Source organism: Homo sapiens, chromosome 14, assembly GCF_000001405.40.
Source record: "Homo sapiens chromosome 14, GRCh38.p14 Primary Assembly".
NCBI classification, from domain to species: domain Eukaryota; kingdom Metazoa; phylum Chordata; class Mammalia; order Primates; family Hominidae; genus Homo; species Homo sapiens.
In genome coordinates this window covers 50,461,154-50,486,614 of record NC_000014.9, presented here as the reverse complement: position 1 = coordinate 50,486,614, position 25,461 = coordinate 50,461,154, and the positions used below count along the sequence as shown (strand labels likewise).

Here is a 25,461-nt window from a genome sequence, read left to right as displayed (position 1 = left end):
TGATTGTAAAATACAGACCAAAAAGGAAGAAAGCAAAATTACTTTTGCAATACTTTTTCTATATACTTAAATAATATATAATCTTTTTCACATAATATAAACCTATTTTCATGTCACAGCACACTGTACTGTAATTTATTTAACCATCCTTGCATTATTAAACCATACTGTGGTAAACATCTGTCTTTGTACATATCTCCTTAAGAAAAAAAAAATTTGTAAGTAAAATTGTGGGTTCAAAGATTCTGTATATTTTAAAGACTTCTGACTTTATAGAAAGATTCTACCAGTTTACATTTTCATTGAAGTATTAAGAATGCCTCATTCCTCATCTCTAATATTTATTGTAAAGTTTTCCTTCCTTCTTTTCATATGTAGAGATTTTGAGTAACATGATAAACAACTTATTTTGTTTTCCAGGAGATGATTTTTCTTTGATTCAACAAGAAATATTTATGGTTAAAGAATGTAAACATTGTAACATCGTTGCCTACTTTGGGAGTTATCTTAGGTAAGAGAAAAAAAAGCATCATCTCTCTCTGTATTTTATATATTCTTTGCTACTACACTCTCTCCCTTGTATGTAAGTGCTACTATATTTGTATGTTTTTAAACACTGCAAAGTTCTAAATTTTTTAAGGTTTTCCTATTTCTACGGTTTTCCCCTATTACATATTAATAATGGTACTCCCATTTTTATAGTTGTACCTCATCTGGCAATTTTAATGAAACATAAGTGATTACAAGTAAGTGTTTTAACTTACAAAACTGATCATATTCTAAACCACTGAAGATGGGAACAAAGCTGAAATTAATGTGCTTTTCTGTATATTGTAGCAAGATTACATAGCAGTTTCCTGTTGCACTTCACAGTCCATTCTGAACCCTGGTGTGCTAAAGAGTGAGAGCCTTAGAGTATTTCAGTGATTGAAAATTACTAGCTAATATAATTTTCTTTTTTTTTTGTATTAGTCGGGAAAAACTATGGATTTGTATGGAATACTGTGGTGGCGGATCACTTCAAGATATTTACCATGGTACTGTTAATTTGACTTTACATTTTAAACAGACTTTGGTTTTAATGATTGTTGTTCGATATTTCCAGTTAACCACGGAAATTAACAGGTAGACTTACTATTTTGCATTCTTCTGTTCCCGGAGCACTGCATAACAGAAATCTGTATTTATTTTTTATTGGTTAGTCAATTAAACTTGCCTGAGCCTGAAGTGACAAATGCAAAAGTATTTATATAATCCAAATTTTACTCTTTAGATATCTCTAGGAAAGTGTTTTATCTACAAATGAAACTTCCTAAATTTCCTTGTAAAAAAAAATTGAAATGCAAGGGGTAACTCACAGAAGGGAAGTTACGTGTCTGTCTTAGTAACTTAACCTGCTAACCAGAAAAGCAATTTGCTTGTTACTGTAATATTTTTGTATTAATATGTATGTTTTAAAGTTTCGAGTATTTTATTTAGTATTCATATTAATTTAGGCAGTTTCCTGAGTTGAATTTGACATTACAGTCTAATACTGTTTAGAAAGTTTTGTTTTGGCTCTACTGTTTAGCTTTTAATTTGTTTTGTTGCTGCTGGCAATTTCTTGAATTTCTAGAATTTATGAGACTAAACATAGATCCTTATAATTTTTCTTCTCCTTGTTTAACATGGATATGGGATAGTAAAACTCCCATTGCAGCTACTTATTTTATAATTTGTTTTAAAGAATTACGTGAAATATTTTTAAACGTTTCTATGCTGAAATCTTTATATTGGAAACCTTACCAAATTTCAGTCATGCAGTTTACAAATGCAGCCACAGTAGATATAAAAACAGAAGTGCTATTTCACTTCAAATAATAGGTTGTAACTACAGAGCTCAGTTTTAAAATGTCAATCAATAGAGCAGTGGTTAAATAAACTACTCTTCAACCTGTAATATGGAATACTGTGCGGCACTTAAAAAGATGAAGTTACTTCATAATTATTGACCTGGGTATATATCCCTAAGGCTTGTTTTTAAATGGAAAAAGTGAATTGTGAAAGAATATGTATAACATACTGGGTCATACTTAGGCTTTTAAAAATTACATTTTTATAAGTATAAATATAGAATGTAAATGTATAGCAAAATGAAAGAATACCTACCAGTTGACTAAGTCATTACCAGAGGAGAGGGAAAGCAAAGCTCAGAAGTAAACTTTTAAATTACAAAAAAACTTATCAATATAGTACTTAATTATCAATTTTAAAATGTCATAATTATCTAATTTTGTCACAACAAATAATCCATAACAACAAAAATTCTGACTGATGTCTAAACACTGATCACTACCTCTTTATTAACAAAAATGTTTTAACATCACATAAATGTTACAAATACACAAATTACTATGATTTAGGCTATTTCTTAGGCATGTGGATTTAAAATTCTCTGTGCCACTGGATTTAATTTTTTTCTATGATTTTATAAAGAATTGCTATCTTCTCATGCCTGTAATTCCAGCACTTTGGGAGGCCAAGGTCGGGAGTTTGAGACCAGCCTAGCCAACATGGTAAAACCCCATCTCTACTAAAAATACAAAAATTAGCCAAGTGTGGTGGCAGGCACCTGTAATCCCAGCTACTTGGGAGACTGAGGCAGGAGAATCACTTGCACCCAGGAGGCGGTGGTTGCAGTGAACCAAGATCACGCCAGTGCACTCCAGCCTGGGCGAGAGAGCAAGACTGTCTCAATAAATAAATAAATAAATAAATAAATAAATAAATAAATAAATGGAATTGCTGTCTTTTCTGTGAAAAGTTTTTATTCGGTAATTGTAATTTTTGTCCATTCACATTTTTATAAAATGAGAGCACTCAAGATAGCTGGCTTTTTTTTTTTTTTTTGCAACTTTTAAGTTTAAAGAATAGCTTTGAAACATTAATTTTATTTTTTCATGAAATTCTGACTTTCTCTTATTAAACCTGATATTTGTTGAATTAAATTGAACCTAAGAAGTACCCATCCCGGTAGTTAGTATACTAGATAGCATAATAATCAATAAAATCTACACTTATAATTAGATGTTGTTAATAAAGTGACTTTTTTTCTTTTACTACTATTTATCATGTTACTAAGAATCAAAAATTTATGTTCCTGAATGGGTAGAGAGAGCCAGTGATTAAAATACGCGGTAGAAATTTCTCTAGGTGAAGAATACACATGACTACCTGATTTGGTTTCGCTGTCAGCAGATACCACCCCAGAGTTACTCTCATGGTACTGAAAGGCATAGTCCCGAAGCCTCTGGTTGAGTTCTTGAAATAAGTAGAATTTTATATTTCATATTAGGGAGAGATCTGGTTGCCAAAAGTGACACGGTTATTTTTTAAATTCTTAGATAAGGTACTGGATCAAGCCTCTCTTTTGATAGGTGTGGTAAAGAATTATACTAAAGAAATAGCATCTTGATCTATAAAAAAGTATATGATGCCTTTTAATATATTGGATAGTCAATCTCTTTATGATTCTCTATTTCTCTGTATAATTAGTTATATGTATTTCTTTATTTTTGAAAAATTGTTCAGGATTGCATTCTATAGACCTTCCTATAATGCATACCACTATGCTTTGCACATGAGTGCTTAATATTTTCAAGGACCACAGTTGTTACGGAGTTAAATCTTTTAAAGTACATTTGAAAAAATTCTCAGTGTTACCTTTTGTTTTTGATTCTTGTTGACAGAAATAATATATGCTCACAATCAGAAGAGAAATCACTCAACTGTATAAATAGAAATTGTTTTATAATAGTTCGTCTGTTTTTTTGTTTTGTTTTGTTTTTTTGTTTTTTTCCGAGACCGAGTCTCGTTCTGCCGCCAGGCTGGAGTGCGGTGGTGTGATCTCAGCTCACTGCAACCCCTGCCTCCCGGGTTCAAGCAATTCTCCTGCCTCAGCCTTCCGAGTAGCTGGGACTACAGGTGCGCACCACCATGCCCAGCCAATTTTTGTATTTTTAGTAGAGACGGGGTTTCACCATGTTGGCCAGGATAGTCTCGAGCTCTTGACCTCGTGATCCGCCTGCCTTGGCCTCCCAAAGTGCTGGGATTACAGGCGTGAGCCACTGCGCTTGGCCTAGTTTGCCATTTTTTTTAAGTAGACTGTTTCTAATGTTAGGTTTAAATGTATAACAATGTGGTCTCTTTTTCTTTCTAGTTACTGGACCATTATCAGAATTGCAAATAGCCTATGTATGCAGAGAAACCTTACAGGTACTATATTTTCTTAATATAGTTAGAAAGGCAATTCTAGGCAATATTTTCTTAATGTAGTTAGAAAGGCAATTGCCTGACAATTGATAACTATAAAATGATAGTCTACCTTAAAGAGAAAGGGTAAAACAAAATGATTTTTCTGTTAATCTCTTATAATTCTGTAAAACTAGTTATTTTTCTTTCATGAATGAATCACATGAATTCATTTAAGCTGATGCCGACATATACAGTGATCATATGTGGAATTCCACTTTGATGCTGATGCACACCATGGTCATGTGAGGTATTCTCCTTTATAGCACTTGGCCCTCAGTTGTGTAAATTGGTTTTCAAGAATGAATTACCAAACCTCTCAATTGTAACATGTTGTCTAAGCGTTCCCTTCAAGTTTATGGCAGTAAAAGGAATCTCTTCCATGAGACATAGGGGCTTTTACTATTTCTCTTGAAATAAAATAAATTAGCACAGCATTAACTCAAGGTGTTATCTGAAAACCCTAGTTCTATGTGGTATTAAATGTTATTGATAGCAGAATCTCTTTTTGTAAGTTTGGTTAACATTGCATTAAACAGGTTTCTTTACTTCAGGGCCTGTGAGAACTTTTAGTATGCTAAAATGGGTTATGAATATTCAATAAAGATATAGAGTATGTGGTATTTCTCCCAATTTATTTATTTTTTTCAGTGCCCTGAAAGACTACTCACTGAGAAAATTAGGAATTAACAATTTTGTTCATATAATTTAAGGCATTTAAATTTGCAGGAGGGAATAAGTAGTAGTGATTGTGGTTTGTATTTTTGTAATTTACAACTGATAATTGTTAATTAATGCTTCTATCCCTAAATTTCCTATATTGTGTAGTTTCAATTTAGAAAGAAATTGATACTCTATGTGTTGTTCTCTAATATTTTCCAAAATGGGAGATTTGGCTGATCAGGAAAAAGTTCTAGTCAATTTTGAAGAGTTGGTTCCCACATGCTTTAAAAGACATAAACACTGCCAAATCTTACTGAGAGATAAATCAGATTAATTTATCTAACATATATATATTTATATATATATATAGAGATGTGTAATATATATGTATGTACGTATGTGTGTGTATATTCCTATAACGTTTACATAACATAGAAACCTACTTCATTGTATCTACATAAAATACAAACTTAATTATACACTCATAGCAGAGAATTATTGACAAATTCATTTTCTTTGTATTTTAATTTCTAAAGTTCATTGTTTCCCTAAGTATTAAACAAAGTACTGAGTAGAGGTGAAAAAATAAAAAAAAAAAACAAAGTCGAATTTGCACTCTGGCGCTGGTATGTGACCGTAATCTTTTATATAGTTCTAGTTCCCAAAATACAATCCTGTACTGCATAACATTTCAGTCAACAATGGGCTACATATACAACAGTGGTCCCATAAGGTTATAATACTATATTTTTACTGTACCTTTTCTATGCTTAGATATGTTTAGATACACAGTAATTGTCATTGTGTTACAGTTCCTACAATATCAGTACACTAATGTGCTGTGCAGGTTTGTAGCTTAAGAACAATAGGGCTATACATATACCCTAGGTGTTTAGTAGGCTATGTGTATATACCATCCATGTTTATGCAAGTACCCTCTGTGATACTTGCACAACAAAATTGCCTAACAATGCATTTCTCAGAATGTATGCATCCCTATTGTTATGTGAGCATGAGTTTATAAAATGAGGCTTATTTTCAAGAACAAGGATGGAGCTGGAGATCCTTATGTTATGTGAAATAAGCCGGGGACAGAAAGACAAACATCACATGTTCTTACTTATTTGTGGGATCTAAAAATCAAAACAATTAACTCACAGACATAGGAAGTAGAAGGATGGTTACCCGAGGCTGAGAAGGGATTTGATATGGTCGGAGGGGAGTGGGGATGGTTAATGGGTACCAAAAAAAAAAAAAAGAAAGAATGAGTAAGTTCTAGTATTTGATAACACAACAGGGTGACTATAGTCAGTAATAACTGAATTTTATATTTTAATATAACAGAGTGTCATTGAATTGCTTGTAACTCAAAGGATAAATGCTTGAGGGGATGGATACCGCTTTCTCCATGATGTGTTTATTTCACATTGCCGCCTGTACCAAATAAATTCCCCATAAATATATACCTACTATGTACCCACAAAAATTAAAATAAAAAAAAAACCAATATGAAGCTTAGGAAGGGAATACCTCCAAGATTATTTCCAATTTTAAAATTCTATTATGCAGATAAACTTCCACATCTGGTCAAAATCAGGTAACAAGAAGTAGATTTACCATGCTACCCAAAACAATCAAATAAAGTAGGCAAAATATATGAAACAGTGATTTTCAAGAAACTGAACATCAGGTAATGAAGGACAATGAGGCCTGAAAAATAGGAAACAAACCAAGGAAGCCATATAATTGCCCCAGCTTATGGCGTTGGGAAAGTTTTCAGGCCACAGTACAGGGAGAAGGAACCCAGGTGGGGTCCCAAGCCAGTTAGAGTATTTAAGGTAGAGTATTGGAGAGTGCTTCAGAGTATTGGAGTATTTTTGAAAATTCAAAAATATACAGCACCCAACAAAGTAAAATTCACAATGTTGGGCATCTACTCAAAGATTACCAGACAAGCAAAGAAGCAAAATAAGATGAAAATCAGTAAAACCAACCCACACTGACAGATGCCAGAATTAGCAGACAAAAACATTAAAACAGTTATAACTGTTTAAGATGCTTAACAAGTTGAGATATGGAAGGTATAAAAAAGGCCCAAGTCAAACTTCTAGAGATGAAAACCACAGTGTCTGATGGAATTAACAAAGGATGAAATTAGCAGATGATTAAATACTGAGTGAGCTTTGGATGGAATTAACAAAGGAATTAACAAAGGATGTTAATTAACATGTGTCTGATGGAATTAACAAAGGATGAAATTAGCAGATGATTAAATATTGCAAAAAACGTATATTTGAATTTGAGGGCATAGAGGTGGAAAATATTCAAAATGAAACATGGAAAGAAAAAGTAATTTTTTATAAGTGAAGAGTATCATTAAGCTGTAGGACAATTTCAAGTGGCCTAATATGGATATAATTGGTGTCCTTGAAGGGACAACAGAAGAAAAAGGGACAAAAATGAGAAAAAAAAAAAGAGAGAGAATGAAGAGACAAAGAGAAAAAAGGGAAACGAAAGAGAAAAGGGAGACAAACTGAAAAGGGGAGATGGCTGAAAATTGTCCATACTTGATGATAACTATTAATATGGGCCCACAGATCCAAAGTGCTCAACAAACCCTGAGCACAAAAAACAACAACAACAAAAAAAAAAAAAACGAAAAAAACTACACTAAGACACATGAATCAAATTGCTTATTTGATTAGAACATCTTAGAAGCATTCAGAACAGGACTCATGATATACAAAAGAACAAAGACAAGGAATATTTATTGTTAGAAATAAGTGAGAAGACAGTGGAAAATCTTTAAAGTACTGAAAAAAAATTGTCAACCTAAAATTCTATTCCTAGAGAAAATCTCTTTCAAAAACAAAGGCAAAATAGAGTTTTTCAGACTTACAAACACTGAAAGAACAAGTCACCAGCAGACCTATCCTACAAGAAATGTTTAAGAAAGTCCAACATTATGCTCAAAGAAAATGCTCATTGGAGCATTTTGTATTTTCTGTTTTCTGATTAGGGATGTTTAACCAGTATATATTCTGCAAGTACTAAAAAATCTGAAATCTGAAATATGTCTGGTCCCAAGCATTTTAGATAGGGATATTCAGCCTGTACTTATAGGGAAATTTATAGCACTAAACAGAAGCTCTCAAAATCAGTATCCTCAGCTTCCACCTAAGAAGCTAGAAAAAGATGAGCAAATATAATGCAAAGTAAGCAGAGAAAGGAAATAAAGATCAGAATAAAAATAAACGAAATGGAAAGGAAAAAAAATAGTAATAGAGAATGTCAGTGAAATAAAAATCTGATTCTTTGAGATGAGCAATAAAAATGATAAACATCTAGACAGATTGATCAGGAAAAAAAGTAAAAAGAGAAGAAACAAGTGATAAGCATCAGAAATGAATGATGGGATATCAAGACAGAATTTACAAATATTAGATAACAAGACAGTATTATGAACAGTATTATGCCAATAAAATGGGCAGTTTCAACAAGAGATACAAACTACCAAAGCTCACTCAATTATAAATAACCTGAATAATCCTATATGTATTCTCACAAAGAAAACTCCGGGCCAGATGATGCCATACAGTAAATTCTACCAGACATATAAGAAAGAAATAATGCCAATCCTATATATACCTATCTAGAAAATTGAAGAATGAGAAATAACTCCCGAATCATTTTGAGTCAGCATTTTTCTGACACCAAAATTAGACAACAATCTTACAAGAGAACAAAACTACAGGCTAATGTTCTTCATAAACCTAGGTGCAAACATTAAAAATAAAAGGTTTAGCAAAGGTAATCCAGTAATATATTTTAAAAGTTAATACATCATAAGTGGAGTTTATTCTAGAATGCAGTGTTGGTTTAATATCCAAAAATCATTTCATCTTAACAACTAAAAAAGAAAAACCACATTATCATCTAAATACACACAGGGCATTTAGCAAAATCCAACATTCATTCCTGATAAAAAAAAGTTCTGAACATGGTAGGAATAGAAAGGAACTTGGTCAACCTGATAAAGCGTACCTGTGAAAAACCTATGACTAACTCATACTTAATGGTAAAAGACGGGATGTTTTTTCCTCCAGGCTCACCCAAACAGGGTGATGAAGTCTGCCTTTACTACTACTTTTCAACATTGTCCTAGAGGTTTCAGCCAGTGCAAAAAGAGAAAATAATGAAATAAAAGGCATCTGGATTAGAAAGTAGGAAGTACAACTCTCTTTATTCACAGACCACATCATCATCTGTGTAGAAAATGGAATAAAATCTACAAAGTAGCTACTAGAACTAATAAATTAGGCTAGAAAGATTGTAATATTCACTATCAATGTACAAAAATCAATCAGATTTATATATACTAGCAACGGACAATCTGAAGTTAAAATAATACAACATATAATAACATAAAGAATATGACATTCTTAGGGATAAATATGACAAAAGATGCATAAACACCTGCATACAGAAAACTACAAAACTCCTGAAAGAAATTAAAAACCCAAATAAATGGAGAACTATACCATGTTCACAAACCAGAAGACTCAATACTGTTGAGATGATAATTCTTCACAAATTGTTCTGTAGATTCAGTGCAACCCCAATCACAATTTGAGGAGGCTTTTTATTAAAGAAGTTGACATGCTGATTCTAAAATTGCTGTGGAAATGTAAAACACCTAGAATAGTCAGACAACTTTGAAAACCTGAACTATAGTGCCAGAAAGCACATCAGTGTTTGTGAGGGTTGTGGGGAAGAATGGGAAAATTATAAAGGAGCACCACATAAGGAAACTTTTAGGAGTAATTAATATATTTGATATCTTGATTGTGTTTAGTGAAATATTTCTGATTTTTATCAGAAAATAAATTAGAAATCTTCAGGCCGGGTGTGGTGGCTCACGCCTGTAATCCCACCACTTTGGGAGGCTGAGGCGGGTGGATCACTTGAGGTCAGGAGTTCAAGACCAGTCTGGCCAACATGGTGAAACCCCGTCTCTACTAAAAAATACAAAAATTAGCTGGGCATAGTGGCGCATGCCTGTAATCCCGGCTACTTGGGAGGCGGAGGCAAGTGAATCACTTGAACCCAGGAGATGGCAGCTGCAGTGAGCCAAAATCACTGCCACTGCACTCCAGCCTGGGCAGTGAGACTCTGTCTCAAAAACAAAAACAAATCTTTAAAATATAGTAAACATTGATTTACTTATCTAGGTTTTTTTCTCCCCAAAAAAGACATTCTAGTTTTTCTTATTCAATAAGAATTTAAGTAGAAAATTTAGGAGTCACATTTACAGTTTTGCTGATACATTCTTTTTTTTTTTTTTTAAACTTTTAGGGTCTTGCCTATTTGCATACTAAAGGCAAAATGCATAGAGATATCAAAGTAAGTTCATTTAATACATTTAAATTGCCAATTCTATTGGAAGAAATTTTATGATGCTAATTTAATTGTATTTGTATTTTTGTTCTAGGGTGCTAATATTTTATTGACAGACCATGGCGATGTAAAATTAGGTATGTTATTTCAAATTCCTAAAATTTTTTCCAAAAATTTAATGACATTTTAATAAAATTTTTATAAAATTTTAAATGAGAATTAACATTATGCAGATTTCATTTTCATATCAAGAGTCGCAGTAATGTTTAACTTTTGATCCAGTAATTTTACTCCCAAAACTCATTTTAAGGAAATTAAACCTAAAGATGGAAAATCCATATTCACTAAAGCATTAACCATAATATTACTTGTGGTAGAAAAAATGCAAATGTAAGTCTAGCAATAGAAAAACTGTTAAACTGTGATAAATCTATTCAATCATTGATATCTATGAATGTGTAAGAGTAACATCTGGTGTGTTAAATGACAAAAATGGACTGTATATTTATTTAGTATTTTACAACCACGTGTTTCTGTGTGTTATTTTGTTTGTTTTGAAGGAGATGGTCTCACTCTGTCATTCAGGCTGGAGTGCAGTGATTCAGTCATAGCTCACTGTGTACTTGGACTCCTGGCCTCAGGCTATGCTCCCACCTAATCCTCCCAAGTAGCAGGGATTACAATACAATCATGTTTAACTACAACACTTAAAAAGTTCATACATAGAAAAAAATGACTGTAAAAAAAATAGTACCAGAATGCTATCCTTGTTATATTAGGATAAAAGGAATACAGGTGTGTGTTTCTCCCATGTGTTTTATTTTTTGTGCTTTTTTTTTTCTCTTTTTCCCAAATTAACTTCATTGTGTATATAATAAAAATATTTTTTGTTAACTTTGTTCTTAATAAAGTATTTTCATTCTAGTAAAGTGCCAGTAAATTTTTTTAATAAGTATGTTGTGAACTAAGCAAGAAGAGATTTAGGTATTCAATTTATGCGCATTTTTCTAACATTAATATTTGAATTATTAATACTGCCATGCCTAAGGGCGAAAGTAAAAATGTTGTTTGGTGTATTGTAAAGAACTAAAATTTTCTGTTTTTTTCCTCACTAGCTGACTTTGGTGTGGCTGCAAAAATAACAGCTACCATTGCAAAACGAAAATCTTTCATTGGCACCCCTTACTGGTAAGACATTACTGTGATTGAATTTGATCCATTTTCATTTCTTCATGGTTTTGTGATCAACCTCGATACTTGGTAATAGAAGTAATAATTAAAAGTAGGGAGATTTGCGTGCTCTTTGACAGTATCATAAGTTCTGTTTGGGTTAGGGAACTTTGATGCTCATATTCATGGTTCAGCCTTCCCTCTGTAGAAGTGCTAATAATTTTTACTATCCCTGTGATTTTATATTGAGAGGGCTCTTAGGTATGAAATTTTCAAAAGATTTGCCTCCTGTAATTTTCTTACCCTTTCTTCTGGCATTCTCTTTTAATCTAGGACTTTTCCACTTTATTTTATTTTAAGTTGCAGGGTACATGTGCAGGATGTCTAGGTTTGTTACATAGGTAAACGTGTGCCATGGTGGGTTTGCTGCACCTATTGACCCATCACCTAAGTTTAATCTAGGATTCTTCTTCCTGGTTGTTAAAACTCCTTCATCCTACCTACCATTACTCTCACCAGCCACCCCACTCTTAGTGCATTCCACTGATTACTGACAAAATAATCTTTCTAAAACACTGCTTTCATTATTGATAGATGATAGAAATAAAAAGCCTCATAACAAAACCTTAATATTTAAAATTGTGAATGTTATAAAAGGTGACATTTGCAGTTTGTGTGAAAGGTTAGATTCTTTTTTTTTTTTTCTGAGACAGGGTTTCATTCTGTCACGTGGCTGGAGTGCGGTGGCACAATCACAGCTCACTGCATCATTGACCTCCCAGAGCCAGATGATCCTCCCATTTCAGCCCCCGAAATAGCTGAGACTACAGGCATGCAACATCACAGCCAGCTAATTTTTTGTAATTTTTTTTGTAGAGACAGGGTTTCAGCTAAAACTCCTGGGCTGGTCTAAAACTCAAGTGATCTACCTCCCAAAGTGCTGAGATTACAGACTTGAGCCACTGTGCTTAGCCAATTTGGATTCTTTAATGTGCAGTGTTTGGATAATTTGTTATTTGAAAAGAAATTTAAGTAGCTCCGTACCTCATACCTGATGTCAAAAAATCGTATGTGGAAATAGTCAAGTTCACACCTGTAATCCCAGCACTTTGAGAGGCTGAGGCGGGCGGATCAAGAGGTCAGGAGATCGAGACCATCCTGGCTAACACGGTGAAACCCCGTCTCTACTAAAAATACAAAAAAATTAGCCGGGCGTCGTGGCAGGTGCCTGTAGTCCCAGCTCCTCGGGAGGCTGAGGCAGGAGAAGGGCGTGAACCCAGGAGTCAGAGCTTACAGCGAGCTGAGTGCGCACCACTGCACTCCAGCCTGGGCGACAGAGCGAGACTCCGTCTCAAAAAAAAAAAAAAAAAAAAAAAAAGTGAAACCAAAAGAGCCATCAGTAACTATCTGCTTTAAGAGCTGAGGAAGGCTTTCTGAACATAAAGAATAAAACCTTAAAAGGAAATGCTGATAGATTTAACTGCATGAAAATTTAAAACTTGTTTATGTCCACCAGCTTAAACAAAATTAAAAGGCAAGTAAAAAAACAGGAAATATTGTCTAAAATATGCCAAACTAGGTTTAATATTTTTCATATGTAAGTTCTTATGTCGTTAAAAAGAATGTCTCATTAGAAGCAGTTAGTAAAATAATACATATTAAGTATCGTAACATATGATAATAGATCACAAGAAGTTACGGATTTCTTTTTTTTTCTAATACCAACTCTATTAGCAAAAACAATGGCATAGACTTATTTGTGCCAAAAGAGAATACTTTTTCCATAAAAAAGAAAGGTAGAATATATCTAATAGGTGAGGGGTAACCAAAACTTTTTACCTGAGACCAGTAAGAAAAGCCCCAAAATTAACAAAGACTCAGTTTTCAATGACACATTCATCACAGACCAATTAAAAAACTACATAAAAATCTTACCTACATATTAGAAATACATTTTTAATTCATTCATAAATCCAACAACCTTTTAGACATATAAAGAAAAATTATTAACTGACAAAAAAACACTACGTATCGAATTCATTTACTATCACTTAAAGGGTGTCTACAGAATTCTCACCTCAATATTTTCATGGAAAATAAGTGGAAATCAATAGTCCAGAGATCCTCATTAAGAATGAGCCACTGATAAACACAATATATTTATAAGTTGTATAATATTCATGTGCATGTTTTGAGCATTAGTCAATGTTTAATTTGCATCAGGCTTTTCAAATTAAATTTATAAGATTTCTTTTCAATAGGCATTCTCAGATGACTTTTGAAATAATTATTAAAATGGAAACTTACCTGTTTTGCCAAGTACTAGGATTTAGATACAGAATACATTCTTATAAGATTCATCTCCAATGTGCACATGTCATGTGTCTTTGAATGTACCTGAGAGAAACAAAGGCATCCCCACATTCCATATGTTTACAGGGATTTTCAGAAATGACTTCTTTCATGTCTTCAACTAGAACTGGAAACACTGAGGACATTACCACATTGTTTACATGCATATTTTCCCCCCAGTATGAGTTTTATATTTTAAAAGGGAAGTGGCAAAATTACATGCCTTCCCATATTCCTTACATTCATAGGTTTTTCTTCAGTATGAGTTTTTTTAATGTGTTCAAAGGGAACTGGAACATACAAAGACTTTACAACATTTCTCATATACATATGGTTATTCTCCAGTATAATTTTTTTCATGTTTTCAAAGATAACTCAGATAATTGAATGTTTTCCCACATTCCTTACATTCCTAGGATTTCTATGAAGTATGTTATTTCATGTTTACCTACAGAACTGGAATATCTGAAGGCTTTATCGCATGTCTTACAATCATAAGGTTTCTCTCCAGTATGAATTCTGTCATGTGTTTCAAGGTAATTGAAACGACTAAAGGCTTTACCACTTTTTTTTTTTTTTTTTTACCTTCATAGAGTTTCTCTCCAGTATGAGTTTTTTCATGTGTTCGAAGGGAACTGAAATGTCTGAAGGTTTTACCACATTTTTCACATTCATAAAGTTTATCACCAGTATGAGTTCTCTCATGTGTTTAAAGGTAACTGAAATGACTGGAGGATTTACCACATTTTTGACGTTCGTAGGGTTTCTCTCCAGTATGAGCTTTCATGTCTTCTAAGGGAACTGTATTGATTGAAGGCTTTACCACATTTTTTATAGTCACAGGATTTCTCTCTATGTGTTCTTTCATGTCTTCACATGGAGCAGAAATGACGGAAGACTTTACCACATTTCTTACATTTATAGGGTTTCTGTCTAGTATTATTTCTTTCATGTTTCTGAAGGAAACTAGAAAGAATAACTCCCTTACCATATTTCTTACATGTAAAAGATTTTTCACCAGTATGAGCCCTTTGAAAGTAACTAAGACAACTTAATTCTTTCGCATATTCCCTACATTCATAGCGTTTCTCTCCAGTGTGAGCACCTTTGTGGTTATGAAGGTAACTGGAATATCCAAGGGCTTTATCACATTTCTTACATTTATGAGGTTTTTCTCCACTGTTAGTTATGTTTTTGAAAAGAACTGCAGAGTCTCAAGGATTTACCAGATTTCTTCTGTTCTCGGGGTTTTTCTCCAATGTGAATTACTTTATGTCTTTGAAGTAAATAGGAAAATTTAAATGTTTTCTCATGTTTCTTACATCATGTAGTGGCCTGCAGGTCATGGCTAGGGGCATGCAACCCCTACAGATTTCTTTGTTCCTTCTTTACTCTCACTGCTTCACTTGACTAACCTAAAAAATATATATATTCTGAATAATGTGTCCCTTGATGAACAAATTAAATGACTTTTTTCTATCAAATTGGAAAATATTTGGAATTATGGGCATCCTTACTATCACTAAATATTTGGCAGTGAGAGTAGAAATTGGTACAACAGGGGTTAGGGAGGGAGAGCATCAGGAAGAATAGCTAATGGATGCTGGGCTTAATATTAATACCAAGGTGATGGGTTGATCTGTGCAGCAAACCACCATGGCACACATTTACCTGTGTAAAAAACCTGTACATCCTGCACATATACCCTGGAACTTAAAATAAAAGTTGAAGGAAAAAAAGAAAAGAAATTGGTAGAACGATTTTGAAGCATAATTTGATGGTAATGTTTATCAAAAACTTTAAGCAATATTTATCTTCTTTATTCTCAGTAATTCCATATCTGGTAATTTATTAGAGAGGCATACAGATTTGTATATGATAAGCTTTATCACACTATTTTAATGATAAAAATTGAGGGAAAATAATACACAACAGGAAGGGAATTACATTTATTCAATTCAGTGGAATAATATGCTACGGCTCATGATATGTTGTTAATTTTAGAAAGCAAGATTCCAAGTAGTATATGCAATATGATACCATTTTATAAAAGGTGTGTGTGTGTGTGTGTGTGTGTGTGTGTGTGTGTAAAAATGGATGAAAATATGTGAAACAGGAACTCTCTTTGAGTGGGATCATGCTTAGCTTGTTTTCTTCCATATTTTTTCATATATTCCAAATTGTTTTCAGTCAACACAAATCACTTTAACAGAAAAAAAGCCTCAATAAGTATCAGTTAAATAAAAGTTAAATGAAGATATAGGTGAGTTAGATAACCTATAGGATTGCCTTTGTCACATCAGAGTCCCTCACTTTCTATGACTGTCCTTTTTGTGAATACTCTTCTAGTCTAAATTGTCTATTTTTTGTATCCTGACTATATCAGGTGAAATACTACTACTTTAGCTTTCTTTACTCTTCCCTAAGATACCCTTTTTCTGTGTTTATCTTAAGCCCTCCCCATTCTTAAGAGGGCCACACTCTCTACCTTTCTATACCTATGGCCAACTGATTGAATACAGTTTCCCACTGAGCCAGGAAGTGCAACAGTCATAGTCAACTTGACATTCCAGTTAGCCACCACTAGCTGATTCCAGTGGGTAGAGGAGATGAATCCTGTTTGCTTTCTCTGGGCTCCACCTCAGCCTCTTTCCTCTGTGAAACTTGCCTTCAATTATCTTGCTCCGTGGTGATTGTTTACTTCTCCTTACTCCTATATCCATTGTTATGTATGTAGCACTTGCATATAGTACACATCTACATGTTCACATTTTTAGTATACATACTTTATATGCTAACCACACTTGAGAGACAGGGTGTTAATATAACTTTTTGTAGCCTAAGTACATATAAAAGCAACTTGTACCTTGTGGATATTCAATTCAAATTAATTGAAGTTAAGTTAGTAAACATTTGAAAAGATAAAAGAATATTTCCCCTGAACAGTATCATCTATACTTTATAACTTCAGAGGCCTTCTACAGTGCTGATTCCCAAACTTGTAACTCCAACTTCAGTCTTTTGTATATTCAACAGTTGTTTAATAATAGCTCTATTTCAATATCCACAAGCATTTCCTCCTCAGATCTATATCTTAAGTTAACCCCTTTCATTCTGTTCCCTCTGCTACGGCCTTTGAAAAGTTCTCTAACATATCTGCCTGACTGATTTCACCTGATTTCACACTATCCTTCATCTTGCCATGCAGTTTTAGATTGTTTGACCTCATAATTAAATCTTTCATTGGGTCCCCATCATTTTCATGATAAAGTCTAACCTTTTTTGTATAAACAGTAGATCATTTATAATCTAGCCTCTACTTCTGAGGTTGATTTCCCAAACACTTTTGAGACTTTCTCTAACCATGTGTTATTTCCTGTCCATTACAGACTTATTTGTAAAATAAGATAAAAATGAATTTATGCATTTGGACAAGCATAAATGCTTACTCTCCATTTCTGTATTTATCACAGACTGGTAGCCAGCAATGTATGGCCCCTTATCAGTTTGCAGGTGATACATTGAGCACTGTCCTGTCAGCTTTGCTGGTCTCCCTGAATTTGTACTCGTTTCCTGTCACTGAAATGTCCAGGCTCCCCACCCTACTTAGAAGTCTCACCTCCTTTAGGAACTTTTCTTTGACCTTCACAGGGATTTAGGTATTCTTTTTCTTTTTGCCTATTACATAACAAGATTCACAAAAATAGAAACCAAACTAAAACAAGATTTTTCCTTAGAGCATAAACATTCAGAGGAGGGCATTCAAGATTCTTAATTAATTTTAAAAGTGTGTATGTGTGTGAAATAGAGATTTAAGCCTTTACTTAGTAATGTTTCTTCTTTCCTAGTAAACACCTCTCAGCTTCCTTCCCTCCAACAAGTCTGGTGATTATAACAGGAAGTAACAGATTCAGATCAATATTTAACAACAAAAATGTTGTATTCATTGATTCCTTCTAGGATGGCCCCAGAAGTTGCAGCAGTAGAGAAGAATGGTGGCTACAACCAACTCTGTGATATCTGGGCAGTAGGAATAACAGCAATTGAACTTGGAGAACTTCAGCCACCTATGTTTGATCTCCACCCAATGAGGTGTTCTCATTATTTATAATTATCCAGTTATTGATCAAGTCTATGGGGAAAGTGAAATGCTGATAACTCAGCATCAAGCTCATTTTTAAGAATGAAAAATAGTAAAGGTATTGTAAGGGATTTAGGAGTAATCTCATCCAAAACCTATTGTGGGCTAGTCCGAAGGTAGTTACCTCAATTCATTTTTCACAATTACAGATCAAGCTCCTTGTTCTGCTTTTCTCCTTCTCACTACTGTACTTGACTAGTCTTTAAATAAATAAAACCTGTCTTGTATTGCTGCTCCTAAAACAACATAAGAGTAAATTGTCTGTACTGTTTGAAGCTTTTCCATAAAACAAATTTCTCTTCATAATCACACTAGGATATGAGAGTTAACATTATTTTAAGACTTTTTGAGTCTTCATGTTCATTCTTTTATCAATTGATCTTTTTTTTTGTCCTATGTGGAATTATAAGTAAATGATAGAATGCAGATGAAACTTTTCTAGTTATATTTGATTTTGTTTCTTTTTATTTTATCCAGGAATAATGAAGAGGTATCTATGCTGAATATAATTATCATTTACATTCTAGGATGTATTATCTCAGAAAAAAATATTTGAGGGCATCTGAAAAGTTTTTTGATACTTTGAAGGAAAAGATAGATTAGGCTTAAATTGACACTTTAAATGGTATGAAGCTAAAAAGAAAATTAACAGAATGGTGAAAGTGTTTTGCTAACGTGATTGGCAACAGATTGATATATACTATATAAGGAAATCATTCAAAGACTACAAGCAAAAAATAGATTAAGGTTTATGAGCAAGTACCAGATACGGGAATCTATTTGAGCTCATAAGCAGCTAAAGATAATATATATTAAAAGATACCTACTTTTAGCTAGAATGCTGATAAGTACAGACCTTTTGGAAAAATACTTTGATGTTATTTGTTATGGGCAATACAAATGTTTCAGTGCTTCCACCGTTTAGGGGATTATAATTCAGAAATAATCTAAGGAAAGAAAATGCTAAGAATTATGCATTTCAGGATAACAAGGGAAAAAATCTAAATATGTAGTAGTTGGTGAATTCTTAAGCCAATTATTTAACAGTTAAGGGCAGCCATTACATATGTATGAACCAAAGCAAAATGGAAAATTGATTATTAGTGAAAAAAATTATAAATACTAATGTGAATATAATGTAATTGGTAAGCATTTAGATAAAGACTAAAAAGATTAGAAAAATGTTTTAAAGAGATTAGAAAATTTTAAATAATAGAATGGTGGGAATATAGTTTTTTTTATTTTTCCTTTGAATCATTTAATTTTTAGAAAGGAAAAATGTATTTGTTATGCTAAAAAAGAAACAGGAATTTGCTTAGAAACCTGGGATTTTTGTAGGAAATGCTGAAATAGAGCATTTTAGAACTTCCTTCTTAAATCCTCTATCATACTACCCCCATAGCCCACAAGAAAATGGGTCACACGTGAGTTTATAGACAAAGTTCTCTTGTAGATTGGTTTATGTATTTAATATACTGAGAGAATATGGGAAATCATTGTCCAAAAAAGGAAAACAATCAGGAAATGGATATAATTTGCCTATACACCCACCCAAAATAAATATGGAGGCCAGTCTTTGGTTAAATATGCAACCTAATGTTAGAGTAACATGTCATCTCTATGTATTAGAGAATTATATACAATTATATAGACATGTGCTTAAGATATAATACTAGTTACATATGTAACAGTATAGTAAGAAAACTCTTTTCCAATATTTGGTGGGTTTGCTTTGTGAATAAGGACTTGTTGGAAATTTAAAAATCTTCTCTGTAGTCAAGAGAAATTTTTTGAAAGCTATCTAAAATATTAAAAATTTAATTTCTATATCCCATAGTAGTTTTCATCATTGTCCACTTATGTGGTAGTCTTGTATAAATTCATTACAGAATATTCTTTCTAATTGTTAGATGTAGTAATTTTGATATTGTTCTTTAACTATAATTTTTATTTCAGGGCTCTCTTCTTAATGTCAAAAAGTAATTTTCAGCCTCCAAAACTAAAGGACAAAACAAAATGGTGAGTTAAAGAATATATAGTTTTATAGAATTTTACAATCGAAAGGAGTATAGATTCAGTTCCCATATTTTGCAGATGATTAAACAGAAGTCCATAGACATTAAGCAGTTTTCTCAAAGTTACACAGCTGATTTGCTTGCAGACCTATGGCAAGGATCTAGATTTATTTTCTGGTAGTTTTTTTTTTTTTTTTTTTTTTTTGAGACAGGATTTTGCTGTGTTATCCAGGCTGGAGTGCAGTGTCATGATCATAACTCACTGCAACCTCAAACTCCTGGGCTCAAGAGATCCTCCCTCCTCAGCCTCTTGTGTAGCTGGGACTATAGGATGTGCCACCACAACTGGCTAAGTTTTGTTTGTTTGTTTGTTATAGAGACAGGGTCTCACTATGTTGCCCAGGCTGGTCTCAAACTCCTGGCCTCAAGGGATCCTCCCACTTCAGCCTTCCAAAGTACTGGGATTACAGGTGTAAGCTACTGTGCCCAGCCCAGTGTTTCTTTCTTTTTTGTGGAGACGGAGTCTCACTCTGTTGCCAGGCTGTAGTACAGTGGCGCAATCTCGGCTCAATGCATCCTCCGCCTCCTGGGTTCGAGTGATTCTCCTGTCTCGGCCTCCCGAGTAGCTGGGACTACAGGCACATGCCACCACGCCAAGCTAATTTTTGTATTTTTAGTAGAGATGGTTTCACCATGTTGGCCAGGATGGTCTCATTCTCTTGACCCCGTAATCTGCCCACTTCGGCCTCCCAAAGTGCTGAGATTACAGGCATGAGCCACCTCACCCGGCCCAGTGTTCTTTATAATCCAGTGTTCTCATAAAACTCAATAATTTTCTTAGGTCTTCGGCAGATTGGGTAAGAAGTGTGGTGAGGAAAGAATTAGAAGTGATTACATGAAGATTTTGAAGAATCATCTATTTTTGCTCTATCTTCCTTTACTTCCATTAATTACACATTGACTTTCATGGAAGGTGATATGAAAAGGGTTTCCAGATAACATGACACTTAAAATCAATCTCTGTTGGTTTTTCCCTCTCTTCCTTACGTAATACTCAAAAAGATTATTACTTATTTTCATCTTGATCCCTTCTTTCTCTTACAAAGTAAAGCAGTTTACCTATCTTTATAGTCCAAAAAGATGTCATCAATTGGTTAATAAAAATTAAAGATTATTTTTCTGGTAATGTCTTCCCCATACATTTAATAAAAGAAGCTGTGCAAATAAGTTTCTGAGTTCTTAAATTCTAGAATTCCTTATCTAGATTACATAGATCTTTGAGGATCTGTGAGCCCCCAAAATTCTGTATGTATATCCATTTTTCTGAGAAGACAGTCCATTGCTTATTTCAGGTTCTAAGAGGCCCCTCCCCACAAACAGGTTCTCAACCACTGCTTTATGTTTCAGTAGTCTGTCTTAGCATAGTTTTATTTAGGACTCAAGCCATTCTGGGGATGATGACAGGAAAGAATGGCAAATCACACCGTGGAAAGAAAGGAGTTTATATTGTGCTGCTAATTATATTCCTTTGTATTGACACTGGGTCCTTCCTTTTCCCTGTTGCTCTAAGTTCCTAGACATCTGGAACTGAACGGTTTTACGGCAGGAATGACTGATATTCATTCAGGAATGAATGACTGTTAGCTATAAATGCTAAATTCACAGTCAGATTTCAGAGCAGTTATTACCATTGGAGAACCTTTGCCAGTCCCGATACTGTCTGACTCCATGTTATCTTTATCGCAAGCCACCAAATGTGATGCAGTGATGTGATTTCTCTGCAGAGAACTGCTGTGTGGTGGTTGTCATTGCTGATAAATACGGTTATTTCATACCTTTAGTTCTTGTCCATTCTCTCCAGTGGAATCTTGGCAATGGTAGAAATACCTTTTTGTGTCATTTCTTAATAATCAAAATGTGATACCTTTAATTTATGTCTTCTTCCTTTCCCCACTTCATCAGTGAAGGTGGCAGAAAACCCTTCTAGTTGCTAAAATTGCTCCCTCCTCTTTGCCTTTTTTTCTAAGAAATTCATCAGCCTCTTTGGGATTTAAATAGTCTCTTATATTACCCCATGCCTACCTTTCGTGCCGTCCAACTCTTTTGGTATAGCACAATATTTACATACTAGGTAAATTATGCAATGAGAAAAGGACATTTTGACTCCTAAGTAGTACCTAGAAAAGAAGGTCATATATAAATGACACAGCCTATCTATTTCTGATTGTTAGTGTAATTTTTGTGGTTGTATATTACTGTTCTGTTACTTAATTGTATTTTATATGAAAGACAAAACTGACACAGATGTTTCCACGGAATATATTGTACTTTAACTAAGTGGCCCAATAAAAAATCATGGTGTTTTAGACTAACTGTTCCTAAGTTAATGTTATTTACTAACACCGAAACGTAATAGTAGTGAAATATTTTTGTACGTCTCTTTTTATTTTAAGGTCATCAACATTCCATAATTTTGTCAAAATAGCACTAACCAAAAACCCAAAAAAAAGACCAACTGCTGAAAGACTTCTGACTGTAAGTCATTGAAATTACGAGGGGTCTTCCTATAGTCATAAATTAGACATATCAGTAGAACAAAAGTATTTATGTTTTTAAGATAAAAATGTTAGTGATCTCTTACAGCAGGGGTCAGCAAACTTTTTTTTTTTTTTTTTTTTTTTTTTTTTTTTTTTTTGGAAACAGGGTCTCACTCTGTCACCCAGACTGGAGTGCAGTGGCATGATCTCAGCTCACTGCAGCCTCCACCCCCACCCCCTGGGATCAAGCCATTCTTCTGCCTTAGCCTCCCATGTAGCTGGGATTACAGGCGCGTGCCACTACCACCTGGCTAATTTTTGTATTTTTAGTAGAGACAGGGTTTCACCGTGTTGGCCAAGCTGGTCTTGAACTCCTGACCTCAAATGATCCACCCGCCTCAGCCTCCCAAAGTGCTGGGATTACAGGCATGAGCCACCATGCCTGACCAGCAAATTTTCTATAGGCGGGTCACATAGTAAATATTTTAAACTTTGTGGGCCATACAGCCTCTGCCACAACTACTGAGTTCTGCCATTATAGCCCAGAAGCAGCCATAAACAGTGTATATATGTGGGTATAGTTTTAATACTCAATAAATATTTACAAAAAGAGGCAGGCAGTGCACTAGATTTTCCCCATGGGCTGTAGTTTGCTGACCCCTGCCTTAGAGAAAACTTTAAAATGTTGCTGTCAGCTAAAACAAATTGCTTTTCTTGTCTTCTAATGTAAATTTATAGAATACTCTGCATATGTGTGTGTATAAAACACTTTTATGTTAGAAATAGTCAGTGATTACAACAACCTAAGAAGCTTTACTGACATGCCAATATTTAATTATATATGTCTTTGTAAATTAACATAATTTTACAGAATTAAATGTATGCAGATATATGATATACATGCTTTTTTCTTATTGTGATTATGTACCATACCACAGTATTCATTTGCATCAGTATAGTGATATGAGTAATGAATGTCATTGGTATAGCCATATCTAATCTATATTAATTTTAGAACTTAATATGGATTAGATAACTTCACAAAAAGAAATTGCTTTCTAAATTTACCCTACAAAGGCTCTTCAGTTTTATATAATGTGTAATTATGGATTCTCTGATTAATATTTTTACTAACACAGTTTATTTGTGTTAGTAGACTCCCATATACTTGTCTCTGCTAGTTACTGAATGAAAAAATGAAGATAGCATTTTCTTTAAGCCATAGATGTAAAGGCATACTCATGAAATTTCATTTTGTTGTCTTTTAGCACACTTTTGTTGCACAGCCAGGTCTCTCTAGAGCCCTAGCAGTTGAACTGTTAGACAAAGTGAACAATCCAGATAACCACGCACATTACACTGAAGCAGATGACGATGACTTTGAGGTAAGGAAGTGTTTGCAGTCTCATAGTTGAAAATAAATGTTTTATAAGGCCTTAAAGTTTGCTTTTTTTTCTTTGTTTTCTGAGTCTATCTTTTAACTTAGTTAAAACAGGTTTAGCTACAGAGATTAATAATGTAAACTACACTTTTCCTGCACATAATTATCAGTTGATACTTTTTTATTGTGGTATAACCAGTTGATACTTTTTTTATCCTAGTTCTCCTTAGAACTAGGATTAGTTCTTAACACTGTCTCTTTTTATGTTCTTAGTTTGGTTAGCCTGAAGTTTTGGTAGCTGAGATTGAAATCAGGGGTCCCTCTGCAGAAATGCAGAGGTGCTTTCCCTTTTAGTGATTGCCCTTATCTCTAGACCTCAGCTTCTGTAGTGAGTTTGATCATTCTGTGGGATATATATAAAGAACATCTGTTTCCAAGGAAATAAAGGTTTTAAGAGCCTTGCTTTCAACCAAGAAAACAAAAGTGTAGCCACAACACATATGCATATTATTTTTCATGAAAAGGACTTCTTCGAAATCCAGCTGCGCATTTTTGTAGTTGAATTTGTATTAACAAAATACAAATAATTTTAAAGAATGAAGCTGAAGTTCCTGTTGGAAAATGTTATCCTTTTCAGTATTTCAAAACTATTATTTCTTATATAATTAGTTGTAGGGCTATTCATAACTGTGCTTGCCTTCTCTGAAAACATTATAGAATTATTTTTAATGTATTTTCTTTTTTTTTTTTTGAGATGGAGTCTCGCTCTGTCGCCAGGTTGGAGTGCAGTAACACAATCTTGGCTCACTGCAACCTCCACTTCCTGGGTTCAAGTGATTCTCCTGCCTCAGCCTCCTGAGTAGCTGGGACTGCAGGTACCTGCTACCACGCTCGGCTAATTTTTGTATTTTTAGTAGAGACAGGGTTTCACTAAGTTGGCCAGGATTGTCTTGATCTCTTGACATCATGATCCACCTGCCTCAGCCTCCCAAAGTGTTGGGATTACAGGCGTGAGCCACCATGCTTGGCCTGTAATGTATTTTCTATAACAACACAATTTGTCAGGAAATCAGGAATGAGAGACTTCCTCTTCATTGACAGGTATCTATTTATGACTATAGCACAGCTATATTTTTTCACCAGTCTCTTTCTCTCCTTATGTTCCTTCTTCTCCTTTTATGATTCCATTTTATTTCTAAGTTTTTCTGAATTTGTCTCTTCATGTCCTTTATTTATTTATTTATTTATTTTATTTCCCTTTTATCTCTACCTTCACTAAAGGGAATTTTCTATTTCCTGTTTTTCAGCTTTAAATTATTTCCTATAAATATCATACTGTGTGCCAGACACGGTGGCTCACACCTGTAATCCCAGCACTTTGGGAGGCCAAGATGGGCAGGTCACTTGAGTTCAGGAGTTCAAGACCAGCTGGCCAACATGGTGATACCCTGTCTCTACTTGAAAAAAATACAAAAATTAGCTGGATGTGATGGCAGGCGCCTGTAGTCCCAGCTA

General features: G+C 33.9%; 1 protein-coding gene and 1 pseudogene across 13 annotated transcripts in view; one reads left to right on the top strand and one right to left on the bottom strand.

Moving 5' to 3' along the window:
• The window catches only part of MAP4K5 (mitogen-activated protein kinase kinase kinase kinase 5), a 142,606-nt gene that overhangs the window by 74,512 nt on the left and 42,633 nt on the right, over positions 1–25,461 (top strand). For all 13 annotated transcript variants that reach the window (XM_047430898.1, XM_047430897.1, XM_047430893.1 and 10 more), the window contains 10 exons: positions 421–511; positions 973–1,037; positions 4,199–4,254; positions 10,309–10,356; positions 10,445–10,487; positions 11,466–11,538; positions 17,833–17,964; positions 19,970–20,032; positions 22,482–22,563; positions 23,834–23,950. In XM_047430898.1, the coding sequence (XP_047286854.1) occupies positions 456–511; positions 973–1,037; positions 4,199–4,254; positions 10,309–10,356; positions 10,445–10,487; positions 11,466–11,538; positions 17,833–17,964; positions 19,970–20,032; positions 22,482–22,563; positions 23,834–23,950 (735 nt within the window). In that variant the 5' untranslated portion in view covers positions 421–455. The remainder of the gene's footprint in view (positions 1–420; positions 512–972; positions 1,038–4,198; positions 4,255–10,308; positions 10,357–10,444; positions 10,488–11,465; positions 11,539–17,832; positions 17,965–19,969; positions 20,033–22,481; positions 22,564–23,833; positions 23,951–25,461) is intronic.
• LOC100419913 (zinc finger protein 678 pseudogene) lies at positions 14,177–14,846 on the bottom strand (annotated as a pseudogene).